General features: G+C 43.2%; 1 long non-coding RNA gene across 1 annotated transcript in view, besides 2 other annotated features; it reads left to right on the top strand.

The window, feature by feature from the left end:
• GPAT4-AS1 (GPAT4 and GINS4 antisense RNA 1) overlaps nt 1-16013 on the top strand; it is a 44064-nt gene that overhangs the window by 17266 nt on the left and 10785 nt on the right. The window lies entirely within an intron of this gene.
• Nucleotides 15663-15752: an enhancer, noted in NCBI's record as "active region_27287". NCBI's record gives its function as "activates an Ori minimal core promoter by ATAC-STARR-seq in GM12878 lymphoblastoid cells {active_cell/tissue: GM12878}" and the evidence as "EXISTENCE:reporter gene assay evidence [ECO:0000049][PMID:35858748]".
• Nucleotides 15813-15962: an enhancer, noted in NCBI's record as "active region_27286". NCBI's record gives its function as "activates an Ori minimal core promoter by ATAC-STARR-seq in GM12878 lymphoblastoid cells {active_cell/tissue: GM12878}" and the evidence as "EXISTENCE:reporter gene assay evidence [ECO:0000049][PMID:35858748]".

Here is a 16013-nt window from a genome sequence, read left to right as displayed (position 1 = left end):
GGTCTTGGTATGTTGTCCAGGCTGATCTTGAACTCCTGGCCTCAAGCTATTCTCCCTCCTCAGCCTCCCAAAATACTGGGATTACAGGCATGAGACACTGCACCCAGCCAAAAACCTTTTAATACTTCATCTCACTTTTTCCCTATAGCAAACTTTTTATGTTGGTATTACTATTAGCTCCAGTTTACAGATAAGGAAGTAATTTCTCCACAGCTGCTGAGTTAATAAAAATGTAGATTCTGGACCTGAGCTTCATTTTCTGACTCCAAGTCACAGGATCATTTCATTGTATCCTGCTCCTTGTGAAAATATTTTGAAAAACAAAAAGTGCCTCTCAATGTGAGGAATTAGTATTAATATTCTGGAAGAGATGTGTGGAACCATGCATAAATCTACAGAAGACTGCTGCATGCAGGCAGATTGGAAACTGGAAGGAAACTCTAGAGACTTTCTGATACCGCCCTTTGCAAATGTTGGGTGAGCAGATGCTTAAACCTTTCAGGACAGAAGAATATCTATTAATTTTTCTGTCGTGTCTAAGACTATAGCTCTTACAACCTTGTTTGGTAGACCATTCCAGCGCTGGGTTTGCCTTTTCTTCCTGACGCAGCATAGGCCTTTCTATTCTTCATAAATAGCTCTAGGTTTGGCTTTGTCACTTTATTGACTCATTTGTCCTTGTATATGTTCTGGGTATTCTGACTTAGATTAGAAAAGTAGCTTGCTTTTTATAAGAATCCCAGTTTATTTTCCATTGCTTTCTTCCTATTAGTCACCCAGGCTGGAGTGCAGTGGCACAATCACAGCTCACTGCAGCCTTGACCTCTTGGGCTCAAGCAATCCTCCCACCTCAGACTCCTGAGTATCTGGGACCACAGGCTAATTTTGTGTAGACATAGGGTCTCACTGTGTTGCCCTGGCTGATCTCAAACTCCTGAGCTCAAGTGATCCTCTGGCCTCGGCCTCCCAAAGTGCAGGGATTACAGGGGTGAGCCACTGGGCCTGGCCAACTTTTTTTTTTTTTTTGAGACAGAGTCTCACTCCATCACCCAGGCTGGAGTGCAGTGGCAACATCTCCGCTCACTGCAACCTCTGCCTTCTGGGATCAAGTGATTCTCCTGCCTCAGCCTCCCAAGTAGCTGGGACTACAGGCATGCACCACCACTCCCAGCTTTTTTGTATTTTTAGTAGAGATGGGGTTTTGTCATGTTGACCAGGCTGGTCTTGACCTCCTGACCTCAAGTGATCAGCCTGCCTCGGCCTCCCAAAGTGCTGGGATTACAGGCGTGAGCCACCACGCCCAGCCTGAATTTTGGTTTTTCAACATTCATTCTAAAAACCCAACTTGATTAATTCCTTCCCTCTTCCTTTCTTACCCTTTCCTCCTGAATTTTTTTATCCCACAAAATTAATTTGTTTCTAAAAGCCAGAATGAAATTGGATCATGAGATCTTGTTTATGACCACAGGCAAACTGCTGGTCTCCTCCCAGGTCATCATGACCCACTCCTGGCTGTTCTGGTTAATCCACTAAAATTAAGCAGTTTAATTTTAAAGGTCACTGGAGTGTAGCCTAAGATGTCTTGGCTGGCTGTGAATGACAAGCAGTAAGGAAGGCCCAGGTTCCTACCCGATAGAGGATGGAGCAACTTCTTTCTTACAGTCTCTCGTCGGTGGGGGGATGGATGTCTAAATCTTTTGACTGGGCTGTCCACTGTTTTATCTTCTTCAGAGTCTCTTGCTTCGGCCACGTGCAGTGGCTCATGCCTGTAGCCCTAGCACTTTGTGAGGCTGGGGTAGGAGGATTGCCTGGGCCCAGGAGTTCAAGACCAGGCTAGGAACATGGCGAAACCCCAACTCTACAAAAAATACAAAAATATTAGCTGGGCGTGGTGGTGCGTGCTTATAGTCCCAGCTACTTGAAAGGCTGAGGTGGGAGGATTGACTGAGCCTGGGAGGTTGAGGCTTCAGTGAGCCATGATTGTGCCACTGCACTCCAACCTAGGCAACAGAGTGAGACCGTCTCAAAAAAGGAAGGAAGGAAGGAAGGAAGAAAGGAAGGGAGGAAGTCAGGAAAGAAGGAAAGAAGGAAGGAAGGAAGGGGCTTGCTTCATGTTCAGGGAACCACTTCTTTTGACGTAAGTGGTTTTATTCTTCTTTGGGCCTTTTAAAAACGAACAACTGTTTAGCATTCCTCTAAAAATTCTTCAAATTTAAAGAACAGGCCGGGCACAGTGGCTCACGCCAGTAGTCCCAGCACTTTGGGAGGCTGCCAAGGCAGGTGGATCACCTGAGGTCAGGAGTTCCAGACCAGCCGGGCCAACATGGTTGTATTATGGTTCCTTAGAAGGATAGAACTAACAGGATATATATATATATATCTTATATTAGATATATATATATCTTATATTAGATATATATATATCTTATATTAGATATATATATCTCCTATATATATCTTATATTAGATATATATATATCTCATATGAGATATATATATCTCATATATATATCTCATATGAGATCTATAGATCTCATATATATATCTCATATGAGATCTATAGATCTCATATATATATCTCATATGAGATCTATAGATCTCATATATATATCTCATATGAGATCTATAGATCTCATATATATCTTATATGAGATCTATAGATCTCATATATATCTTATATGAGATCTATAGATCTCATATATATCTTATATGAGATCTATAGATCTCATATATATCTTATATGAGATCTATAGATCTCATATATATCTTATATGAGATCTATAGATCTCATATATATCTTATATGAGATCTATAGATCTCATATATATATCTTATATGAGATATATAGATCTCATATATATATCTTAGATATATAGATCTCATATATATGAGTTTATTAAGTATTATTAACTCATATATATATATGAGTTTATTAAGTATTAATGTATATAATCACAAGGTCCCACAATAGGCCATCTGCAAGCTGAGGAGCAAGGAGAGCCAGTCTGAGTCCCAAAACTGAAGAACCTGGAGTCCAATGTTCCAGGGTAGGAAGCATCCAGCATGGAAGAAAGATGTAGGGTGGGAGGCTAGGCCAGTCTCTCCTTTTCACGTTTTTCTGCCTGCTTATATTCACTGGCAGCTGATTAGATTGTGCCAACCAGATTAAGGGTGGGTCTGCCATCCCCAGCCCACTGACTCAAATGTTCATCTCTTTTGGCAATACCCTCACAAATACACCCAGGATCAATACTTTGTATCCTTCGATCCAATCAAGTTGACACCCATTAACAATCACAATGGTGGGCCGGGCGCGGTGGCTCACGCCTGTAATCCCAGCACTTTGGGAGGCTGAGGCGGGTGGATCATGAGGTCAGGAGATCGAGACCATCCTGGCTAACAAGGTGAAACCCCGTCTCTACTAAAAATACAAAAAAATTAGCCAGGCGCGGTGGCGGGCGCCTGTAGTCCCAGCTACTCGGGAGGCTGAGGCAGGAGAATGGCGTGAACCCGGGAAGCGGAGCTTGCAGTGAGCCGAGATTGCGCCACTGCAGTCCGCAGTCCGACCTGGGCGACAGAGCGAGACTCTGTCTCAAAAAAAAAAAAAAAAAAAAAAAAACACCAATCACAATGGTGAAACCCCGTCTCTACTAAAATACAAAAAAATTAGCCTGGCATGGTGGCACCTGCCTGTAATCCCAGCCACTCAGGAGGCTGAGGCAGGAGAATCGCTTGAACCCAGGGGGTGGAGGCTGCAGTGAGCCGAGATCGGTGCCACTGCACTCCAGCCTGGGTGACAATGAGACTACATTTCCAAAAAAAAAAAAAAAAAAAAAATTAAAAAAAAATTTAAAGAACATATTTACATTTTTTTTTCTGTTCTCCCCTACTTAAGCTAAAGAAGCCTTTTCTGCACTAGGCCCATTTTCTAGACATGTTATTGTTTTGCTCAGTCATTTAACACCACCAACAAGAAGGAAGCACAAACACTAACATTTTATTGGTGGTTATTTTAGGATGGTGAAATGTTACGTGATTTTTGTTTTCTTCTCTCAGTTTTTCTAAACTATTGACAATGGCATATATATTTTAGTAATTTAAATAGTTATTTAAAGTTAAAACTAAAAGCTATAGGGCCAGGCATGGTGGCTTACACCTGTAATCCCAGCACTTTGGGAGGCCGAGGTAGGCAGATCACAAGGTCAGATCACAAGTTTGAGGCCAGCCTAGTCAATATGGTGAAACCCTTTAAAAATACAAAATTAGCCGGGCATGGTGGCGGGCACCTGTAGTCCCAGCTACTCGGGAGGCTGAGGCAGGAGAACTGCTTGAACCTGGGAGGTGGAGGTTGCGGTGAGCTGAGATCGTGCCACTGCCCTCCAGCCAGGGTGACAGAGTGAGACTCCATCTCAAAAACAAAACAAAACAAAACAAAACTAAACTAAAATCTACAGCAAATACTGTGGTTTTAGATCTAGAACAAATTAATAGACTAATGGAAATGAACAGCCAAACACACACACACACACATGATAGCATTAAAAGTCAGGAAGAAAGAATGGACTGTTCAATAAAACATACCTGAATGGGTCAGGCATGGTGGATCACACCCATAATCCCAGCACTTTGGGAGGATAAGGCAGGAGGATGGGTTGAGACCAGGAGTTTGAGACCCAGACTGGGCAACATAGTGAGAGTCTGTCTCTACAAAAAATTTAAAAATTAGCTGGACGTGGTGGTGCATGCCTGTAGTCCTAGCTATTCAGGAGGTGGAGGTGAGAGAATTGCTTGAGCCAGGAGGACAGGGCTGCACTTCTGCCTGGGCAACAGAGTGAGACCCCTGCCTTTATACACAAATGTGTATATATACACACACACATATATGTGTGTATGTGTGTGTGTGTATATATATATATACACACATATAAAATGGGAATAAAATGGGATGATTAGCTATCATATGGAGAAAAGTTCAATTCTTACATCACACCACATCCCCAAATTAATTTTAGGTGGATTAAATACCTAAATGTAAAAAAGCAAAACTAAAGTTTTGGAAGAAAATATTGGAAACTCGATTTATGTCCTTGGGATAAGACTCCTTAAGTAATATATAATAACCGAAGACCATGAAGAAAATTGACTCCATTCAGTTGACTACTTCTGTGGGATAAAAGGCACAATAAGAAGAGCTAGGCCGGACGTGGTGGCTCACACCTGTAATCCCAGCAATTTGGGAGGCCAAGGCAGGCAGATCACTTGAGCCCAGAAGTTCGAGACCAGCCTGGGCAACATGGCAAAACTCTGTCTCTACAAAAAATACAAAAAATTAGCTGGGTGTCGTGGTGTGCGTGTGTAGGTGGTGCGCATCTGTAGCCACTCAGGAGGCTGAGGTGGGAGAATCACATGCCCCTGCACTCCACCCTGGGCGACTGAGACCCTGTCTCCAAAAAAACTGAATGACACACCACAGAAAATATCTGCAGTGCATGTGACCAACAACACAGGATTAGTATGCACAATATATAAAGTATATTACAATAATTCCACTTTATCCCTAGGCATGAATGAAATGACACATATACAAGAGTATTCAATGCAGCCGTGGTTGTAGTAGCAAAAGTTTGGAAACAATCTAATCATTTCCAGGGAATTGTTTAAGTAAATTATAGTATATCCAGACAACGAGACTGCATCTAGCTTGGCTGGGCATCATGCCTGTATCCCAGCACTTTGGAAGGCTGAGGTGGGTGGATCACCTGAGGTCAGGAGTTCCAGACAAGCCTGGCCAACATAGTGAAACCCTGTCTCTATTAAAAATACAAAAAAAAAAAAAAAAAATAGCTGGGTGTGGTGGTGCATGCGTGTAATCCCAGCCACTTGGGAGGCTGACGCAGGAGAATTGCTTGAACCCGGGAGGCGAAGACTGCAGTGAGCTGAGATCATGCCACTGCACTCCAGCCTGGGTGACAGAGCAAGACTCTGTCTCAAAAAAAAAAAAAAAAAAAAAAAAAAAAAAGATTGCATGTAGCTGAAAGAGAAAGCTAGGACATCACTTTACTCCTCTTCCAACTAATAGCGTCTTCTTTTTTTATATGCCACTGCACTGATTAATGTAATTATTGTTTTCACTCAGATATCATTCTAGACTCTTCTGTCTTTAATTTCCCACCCACCTCCAATCTAAATGGTTGTCCTCTCCTCTCAGACATGCCTATTGCTAACATTTTTTTCAAATCTGCAATGTTACTTTATATTGATACTAGTTCCCTGCTGAAATTCTTGAGTTCATCTTTTATCTCCACAAGCATGGTTGTTTTCCAGACTGTCTAGTAATTCTACTGTCTGGAGTACCTGTTTGTATTATCTGTTGCTTCTATTGGTTCTCATTCATACTATCTTTTCTCCATATGTGCCTAGTTATCTTTATGCTAGACATTGTATTTGAAAAATTACTAATAGAAGTCATTTGAGGCCAGGCATCGTGGCTCATGCCTGTAATCTCAGCACTTTGGGAGGCCAAGGCGGGTGGATCACATGAGGTCAGGAGTTTGAGAGCAGCCTGGCCAACACAGGTGAAACCTCGTCTCTACTAAAAATACAAAAATTAGTGGAGTTGCTGTGAGCCAAGATCACGCCACTGCACTCCAGCCTGGGCGACAAAGTGAGATGTTATCTGTCCTCAGAGATGATTTTAGTTTACTTCTTGAAGCCACCAGCAATCTGGATAGCTTTAATTCAATTTATAATTTGGAGATTTTCAGGGCCATCTACATGATTCAAAGCTGGACTAACATCTGTGTGTGTATGAGGGGCAGTTGACTTCTAATTCACTTTTACTCCTAGTTTGTATTATACAATGTAATACTATGTATTATTTATACATTTATATAATGTAATACTATGTATTTATACACTTATACAATGTAATACTATGTATTACAATACATAGTAATTCTGCAAGGTGGTTTACCAGAACTCCCAGCATTCATAGGCACTAAACTCTAGCATTGCCCCTTTAGTCCCACTGGGTTGGTGGTGCTTCATGATTTTTGTTCCACAGACCCCGTGGGTATTCTGATGAAGCTATGACTCCTTCTCAGAACTATGTACCTATACATATACATTTTATATATGTACATTATATACATTTTATATGTACATATGTAGGTGTGTGTCAGTGTGTGTGTGTTTATTTGGAGACAGGGTCTCATTCTGTCACCCAGGCATGATCACGGCTCACTGCAGCCTCAACTTCCTGGCCTCAAGTGATCCTCCCAATTTAGTCTCCTGAATAGCTGGGATTACAGGTGCATGCCATCATGCCAAGCTAACTTTTGTAGTTTTTGTAGAGATGGGGTCTACGTTGCCTAGGCTACTCTCAAACTCCTGGGCTCAAGTGATCCTCCCACCTTGACCTCCCAAAGTGAGAACAATATTTTTTTAATGCATAAATAAAATATGTAATGTCAAAGGAAATCTATTATGTTGAAACACAGTGATCAAAACATTAAAAAACAAATTTGCAATAACAGTAGCACATGTGCTTCTTTATTAATGCATTACATAACATGTTCTGGCAGCAGGTCTAATGATGACTGAAATTTTAAAATAGGAATGTAAATGACGTTTTGAGATATCTGCAACAACTGTAAATGTGGTAGGAAGGTATCTGATTTCTGTTGGTGACAAAGTCACAAGTACTGATAATATTACTGTGGCTTATCAGTACTTGTGACTTTGTTACCAATTGATAATATTACTGTGGCTTGGCTAGGCACAGTGGCTCACACCTGTAATTTCAGCACTTTGGGAGGCCAAGACAGGCAGATCACTGAGGTCAGGAGTTCAAGACCAGCCTGGCCAATGGTTGCAGTGAGCTGAGATCGCGCCACTGCACTCCAGCCTGGGTGACACAGCGAGACTCCATCTCAAAAAATGTATATACACACACACACACACACATATATTACTGTGGCTTGTTGCCTAGATTCATAATAGAAGGGAAATCTAAGCTTCATTTAGAGGTTAGTGCAAAAAAAAATGTATTTTTTTTTCATTTTTTTCTTAGCCAAGTTCATGAATCTTCTGAATTGCATGGTCCATGAAACCCAGATTTAAAATCGCTGCTTGAGGCTGTTGGAAGCACTGCTGTCTCTCAGCTACCACTTGGCCTGGGCAAATGCTGTATTGACCCCCGCTTTTTTTTTTTTTTTTTTTTTTTTTTGAGATGGAGTCTCGCTCTGTTGCCCAGGCTGGAGTGCAGTAGTGTGATCTCAGCTCACTGCAAGCTCCACCCCTCGGGTTCATGCCATTCTCCTGCCTCAGCCTCCTGAGTAGCTGGAACTACAGGAGCCCGCCACCACGCCTGGCTAATTTTTTGTAGTTTTAGTAGAGACGGGGTTTCACAGTGTTTGCCAGAATGGTCTCAGTCTCCTGACCTCGTGATCCGCCTGCCTCGGCCTCCCAAAGTGCTGGGATTACACACGTGAGCCACCACGCCCGGCCTGTATTGACCTCTTTTGACTGTGGTCTTCTAGATCTTGGTGCAACAATTCCTCACTAGCTTGTTAGCTCCTTGATGGCTTTAGAAAAATGCTTTTTATGTTTCACCCAGTGTTTGTCTTCACTAAAAATGATCCATATGGCCTAGTCCACCACTACAGCAGCAGAAGGCCCAGTACACTGCCAGGTTACCTCTTCCTGCATGTACTACAAGACCCTCATTCCTTCTGGCTTGGATTTGCCCACACAGCCCTGGCTCCTAACCCTCCAGTGTGACCTCCATTCTCCACAGTCACCAGAGGGATTTCTCTGTGAACTGGATTTCTAAAAACGTAAAACTGGGCTGGGTGTGCTGGCTCATGACTGTAATCCCAGCACTTTGGGAGGCCAAGGCAGGCGGATCACTTGAGGTCAGGAATTCAAGACCAGCCTGGCCAACATAGACAAACCCCGTCTCTGCTAAAATACAAAAATTAGCTGGGTGTGGTGGCATGTGCCTATAGTTCCAGCTACTCCAGAGGCTGAGGCATGAGAATTGCTTGAACCTGGGAGGTGGAGGTTGCAGTGAGTCAAGATTGTGCCACTGCACTCCAGCCTGGGTGACAGAGCAAGACTGCCTCAAAAAAAAAAAAAAGGTAATAATAATAATAAATAATAAATACATAAAATAAAAATGTAAAACGGATTCTATCAGGCGGGTGCAATGGCTTATGCCATTTGGGAGGCTGAGGCAGGCGAATCACCTGAGGTCAGGAGTTTGAGACCAGCCTGACCAAAATGGTGAAACCCCATCTCTACTAAAACTACAAAACTTAGCCGGGCGTGGTGGCGCATGCCTGTAATCTCAGCTACTCGGGAGGCTGAGGCAGGAGAATCACTTGAATCTGGGAGGCGGAGGTTGCAGTGAGCCAAGATTGCGCCACTGTACTTCAGCCTGGGGAACAAGAGCAAAACTCTGTCCACCCACCACCCCCCCCTGCAAAAAACAAACAAACAAACAAAAAAACTGATTATATCAAATATTAAAATCTTTCAGAGCCTTCTAAATGTTTTCATGCAAAATTCATACATTTACATTTTAGCATGACAAATCAGACTCCTGAAGACTTTTGTCTGAAAACCTGTCTCCCATGAGACTCCTATAAGACTCCTCCAAGATGGGAAACTGCCTCTCCTCCTATCCCCGAATCTTGTCTGATGCACCTGCCATGCCCAACTCCTGGGAGTTTCCAGAGTACTGGATCCACCCTGTGGCTTCTGTGCCTTTGCATGTGACCTTTCTGCCTCCAGTAGCCATCCTCTCTTCCTTCCTCAGCCTGGCTAGCTCTCCAGTGTTTCAAGTCTTGGCTTGGGTACCACCTCTTCTGGGAAGACTTCAGGACTCTTCCAGTCTTTCGAGTTCTTCCTGTGTTTTTTCATAATACCCCCTGTTCATTCATTTTTTCTTTTCTCTTTTTCTTTTTTTTTTTTTTTTGAGGCATGGTCTAGCTCTGTTGCCCAGGCTGGAGTGCAATAGTGCCATCTTGGCTCACTGCAATGTCCTCCTGTTGGGCTCAAACAAACCATCCTCCCACCCCAGCCTCCTGAGTAGCTGGGACTACAAGCACATTCCACCACACCTGGCTTTAGTATTTTTGGTAGAGGTGAGGTTTTGCTGTATTGCCTAGGCTGATCTAGAACTCCTGGGCTCAAACAATCTTTCCATCTTGGCCCCCCAAAGTGCTGGGATTACAGAAGTGTGCCACTGTGCCCTGCCCATTCCTACCTTTATACAAGCATAGTATGCTGTGATTTGGTTTTTGTTGGTCTCCCTCGCTAGACTGTAAGCTGCTTTAAGACAGGGGCTTTCTTCTCTGAATGTGCAGCACATACCACAATGTCTAACCCCACCTTTTTTTTTTTTTTTTTGAGATGCAGTCTCACTCTGTCATCCAGGCTGGAGTGCAGTGGCATCATCTCGGCTCACCTGCAACCTTCACCTCCTGGGTTCAAGCAATTCTCCTGCCTCAGCCTCCCGAGTAGCTGGAATTACAGGCACCCGCCACCATGCCCGGCTAATTTTTTTTTTGTATTTTTAGTAGAGATGGGGGTTTCACCATGTTGGTCAGGCTGGTCTTGAACTCCTGATCTCAAGTGATCTGCCTGCCTCGGCCTCTCAAAGTGCTGGGATTACAGGCGTGAGGCACCGCACCCAGCCAGCCTACCTGTTTGTTGACTAAAGTGAATGGAGTTATACCTGGCACCTGCTGTTGTTACTAGGTCACTTACCTCACCTGGCCACTCTTTTTAAACAAGTGCTGGAGTGAGAGGACACTACACCTCCTGCCTTCATTACCACTTTTGCTTATGAATTTTCCTACTTAGGAATTCATATGCTGTCAAATGGCTTATAAATCACTCATTCCCATACATGTTTTAAAAAGTGGGAACTAATATATATCCAAGTTACTAATATGTACTTATATATCTTTTATGTAATTCTTCCCCAAATTTGGGGTAGCTTTTAAAATTAAGGCAAAATAGAAGATTGAAACTGTAGGTATCATAAGGAGATCGGAAACTATTTAAGGAAAGACACAAGGAAGCTCAGAGGGAGGCAGGGGCACACAAAGTGGCTCTGAGTTCCTGGTAGGAAGGCCGGGAAGGGGAACAGATAGGACTCATTTGTCTGATAAAATGAACCATAAAGTTTGAAAATATAAACTTTTACTTGCACTGAATTCTGAGAAAAATTTATTACAGGGATTCTTATATAGAAACAATGGATATGTAATAGATAATGCCTTCAGTTCTAATTTTCAGAAAACATGGAAATGTTTTTCACATGGCTGTCTCTTTGCTAAAAGCAAAGAACTAAAACATTCATCCAGAAATACTGACTAATGGGATCCAGTTTGATACAGAAGTAAAAGTTGGATGGCTGGGAGTGGTGGCTCATGCCTATAATCCTAGCACTTTGGGAGGCTGAGGTGGGTGGATTGCCAGAGCTCAGAAGTTCGAGATCAGTGTGGGCATCATGGTGAGACACCATCCATATCTACAAAAAATACAAAAATTAGCTGGGCGCCGTGGTATGCGCCTGTAGTCCCAGCTACTCTGGAGGCTGAGTCAGGAGAATCGCTTGGACTCCAGGAGGCAAATGTTGCCGTGAGCCAAGATCACGCCACTGCACCCTAGCCTGGGCGACAAAGTGAGACTCCGTCTCAAAAAAAAAGTTGGAGAACCAAGAGAAATGGACTGAAGAAACAGCCCTTCGGCTCTCTCGTGTTAGTTGTTAAACTGTTGACAAGAGTGTGGGCAGCAGCCTACCCATGAGCTCACTAAAGAGGACCCAAAGGGTACACGTTATGTTGTTGACTGGAGATCAGAAAGCTTCAGATGCCAGAAGATGGCAAAGTTGATGATCTTCTACACAAACAAAGGAGGCCTGCTACAGTCTCACCTGGATTGAGGACCAAATCACTTGTCCGGAGGTTGAGGGCAGCCACGTCTGCAAACAGAAGTGGGAGTGGACAGCACACGCTTTAACACGTGAAGCTGGGTGTGGGAGAGGCCATTTCTCACTGTTATTTTCATGACCTATTCTGGAAGTGAGATTGCAGGCCGACCAGAAAGCTATGTGTGCCCAAATCACTCCAGTGTTTCTCATATGAAAACTTGTACACCTTACTTAATTCCCCAAAGAATTTGGTGGGATTTTAATAAAATAGTAAAACTGTAGATATTAAAAAAGAGGTCATAAACTATTTAGGGAAAGAGGACAATTTGACCAGGAAGCTGGGGTACCGTGGTGAGCTGGCGCTTATCTCATAGGGTCCTTATGAGGATTAAATAAGATAATTCATGGAAAGCAATTTGCCTATTGTCCAAGACACAGATAAATATTAATCTCCTTTACTGTTTCCTTTTCTGTAGGCAATGAGTAACCAATGAAGCTTTTTTTTTCAGATGGAGTTTCACTCTTTTTGCCCAGGCTGGAGTGCAATGGCGAGATCTCGGCTCACTGAAACCTCCGCCTCCCGGGTTCAAGTGATTCTCCTGCCTCAGCCTCCCAAGTAGCTGGGATTACAGTCACCTGACACCATGCCTAGCTAATTTTCATATTTTTAGTAGAGATGGGGTTTTACCATATTGGCTTGGCTGGTCTTGAACTCCTGACCTCAGGTAATCCTCCGCCTCTGCCTCCCAAAGTGCTGAGATTACAGCTGTGAGCCACTGTGCCTGGCCCACTGAAGCTTTTTAAGAGGCAATGAAATGGTCAGAATTCTGTTTAAGGAAAATTAATAGGTTCAGTGATAACAGAAGCAGCAATTTGAAGTTTAAAAACATTTACATTTGAGCTGGCAACAACTTTGGGTCCCAGGTTGTTTTAAGTCACTTTAAGAGGCTTAAAACATTCATATGCAAATCTCTGAACCCAAGAAAATAACTTCCTCTTAACCCTAGGCCTGGCCGTTAGGAAAATTTTTTTTTTGAGCCAAAAAATCCCATACTTTTAGGTTTACACTTAAGACATCTTCTCAGGATTAATTGTAAATTCCTTAGAAGCAAAAATAGTCATTTACTTTTATTCTTATTTCCATAGAAACTAATAGAACTGAACAAGAAGCAAGACTTAGGTTAATTGTGTGCTGACTTTACTTCGAGTGGTTTTGTCTTAACAAGCTAGGCAGAATTTGTCAGCATTGTGTTACATAGAATATGACCTGGTTAAAACAGAAAGCTATGTTGAGAAAAATGCCACCTCCTCTAAAGCAATGTGAATGGCAGTGGTTATTCCCTCAAATGAGTCTTTTTCGAATATGAGAACTTATTCCAGTGAAGCTATTGTTGCTGAAAACATTTTTGGATCTTCTTTTCTTTTGTGGAAAGAAAGATTACAGTAAGATGAAAAGGATGGACTCAGGTGCCCTGGCCTCACTGGGGTTTGATCACATCTCTACTTAGAAGTGATGTGGCCTTCAGCAAAGGAGTCTGGTATCAAAGCTCACCAGATGCCATGGCTCATGCCTGTAATCCCAGCACTTTGGGAGCCAAGGCAGATGGATCACTTCAGGCCAGGAATTCGAGACCAGCCTGGCTAACATGGCGAACCCCCGTCTCCACTAAAAATACAAAAATTAGCCAGGTGTGGTGGCACATGCCTGTAGTCCCAGCTATTGGGGAGGCTGAGACAGGAGAATCACTAGAACCCGGGAGGCAAAGGTTGCAGTGAGCCGAGATTGCCACTGCACTCCAGCCTGGGCAACAGGGCGAGACTATGTCCCACCAAATTATAACAAAACAAAAACATCCAATCAAATGGGGGCTTGACTTATTCTCAACAGGACAAAATTCACTTATATTGCCATGGGCAGGCATCATCTGCATAGCAAGACAAGAAATATTCACATCATTATAAGTTTTCTATAAATCAACTTGTACCTCTACAGAGTTGTAAAATTTAAAGACATGGGCACACAGCACACAGGGATCAAGCATTACATTGAAAGGATAGCCAGTAATGTTTTGCCCATTCCAAAATCTCAAATTTTTCCTTGCATAGGTATGTTGTGGAGATTTACAAGTTAATCTACTTTAAAAACAGCTTGATGTGGCCAGGCATGGTAGCTCACGCCTGTAATCCCAGCACTTTGGGAGGCTGAGGCGGGCGGATCACCTGAGGTCAGGAGTTCGAGACCAGCCTGGCCAGCATGGTGAAACCCTGTCTCTACTAAAAAAAAAAAAAAAAAAAAAAAAAAAAAAAAATTAGCCAGATGTGGTGGCAGGTGCCTGTAATCCCAGCTACTCGGGAAGCTGAGGCAGGAGAATTGCTTGAACCCGGAAGGTGGAGGTTGCAATGAGCCAAGATTGTGACATTGCGCTCCAGGCTGGGCAACAGAGCAAGACTCTGTCTCAAAAACAAAAACAAAAAGAGCTTCATGCATAGTAAACTTGGTAAATTAAATATTCTCATTGCCTGCAGAATCTCCTATATATACGGCCAGGCGTGGTGGTTCACACCTGTAATCCCAGCACTTGGGAGGCCAAGGTGGGCAGATCATGAGGTCAGGAGATCAAGACCATCTTGGCTAACATGGTGAAACCCCATCTCTACTAAAAATACAAAAAATTAGCCGGGCGTGGTGGCACACACCTGTAGTCCCAGCTATTTGGGAGGCTGAGGCAGGAGAATCACTTGAACCCGGGAGACAGAGGTTGCAGTGAGCTGAGATCGTGCCACTGCACTCCAGCCTGGGTGACAGAGTGAGACTCCATCTCAAAAAAAAAAAAAAAAAAAAAAAAAAAGAATCTCATATATATATATGTATACACACATATATTTGAGACAGAGTCTTGCTCTGTCACTCAGACTGGATTGCAGTGGTGCAATCATAGCTCACTGCAGCCTCAACCTCTTGGGCTCAAGCAATCCTCCTATCTCAGCCTCTCAAACAGCTGGGACTACAGATGCACATCAGCACGCCAGGCTAATTGTTTTATTCTCTGTAGAGACAGAGTCTCACTATGTTGCCCAGGCTGGTCTGGAACTCCTGGGCTCAAGCGATCCTCCCACCTTGGCCTCCCAAAGTTGCTGGGATTACAGGTGTAAGCCACCAAGCCTGGGCCGGTACATCTCTTTGAATATACCCAGTAGTTGTTTCTTAGCCATGGAATGAATATCCGATTTTTCGGAAATAGCCAAGCTATTTGAAACCAAATCTGTTAAATAAGTACAGAATACTGATTTTGTTTTTTTAAAAAACAAAGGTTTTTTGGACAATATAATGAGAGGGCTTTCATAGCTAGTTGATTAGATACATTTGAAAAATCAGTTCTTACAGAATTCTAAATGGGATATTTGGCTTCCCAAGATAAATTAAAGAACACTATATGAAGAATTGACATATGATGTGTTTGCTTAAAAATGCACTCTGCAGCTGGGCATGGTGGCTCACACCTGTAATCCCAGCACTTTGGGAGGCCGAGGCAGGCAGATCATTTGAGGTCAGGAGTTCAAAACCAGGCTGGCCAACATGGTGAAACCCTATCTCTACTAAAAATACAAAAATTAGCTGGGTGTCATGGTGTGCACCTGTAATCCCAGCTACTTGGGAGGCTGAGGCAGGAGAATCGCTTGAACCCAGGAGGCGGAGGTTGCAGTGAGCTGAGATTGTACCACTGTACTCCAGCCAGGGCGACATGTCAAAAAAACAAAACAAAACCAAAGCACTCTGCAAGCTTCCTGGCTAACTCTTGTACATTGCAGCAGGGGAAGTTTGATGCCTCTGAGGGCGATGCCAAAGCCAGGCGGGCTGCTGGGGTGTGAGCATGGAGTAAATGCAGCAAGGTCACAGATGACGGATGATGACTGCGGTGGGAAAACCCACATAGCGGCCTGCAAGCACGTCTCAGGAAGAGCTGTCTTGCTAGGGGCAAACTTACGGTAAAGGATGACGCCATCATTTGATAAAATGTTCTGTCATGCTTTTAGTGGCGAGTTTTTAACAATAAAGCAAAACACTCAC

Source organism: Homo sapiens, chromosome 8, assembly GCF_000001405.40.
Source record: "Homo sapiens chromosome 8, GRCh38.p14 Primary Assembly".
Lineage (NCBI taxonomy): Eukaryota > Metazoa > Chordata > Mammalia > Primates > Hominidae > Homo > Homo sapiens.
This window is presented reverse-complemented; position numbering and strand designations above follow the sequence as displayed.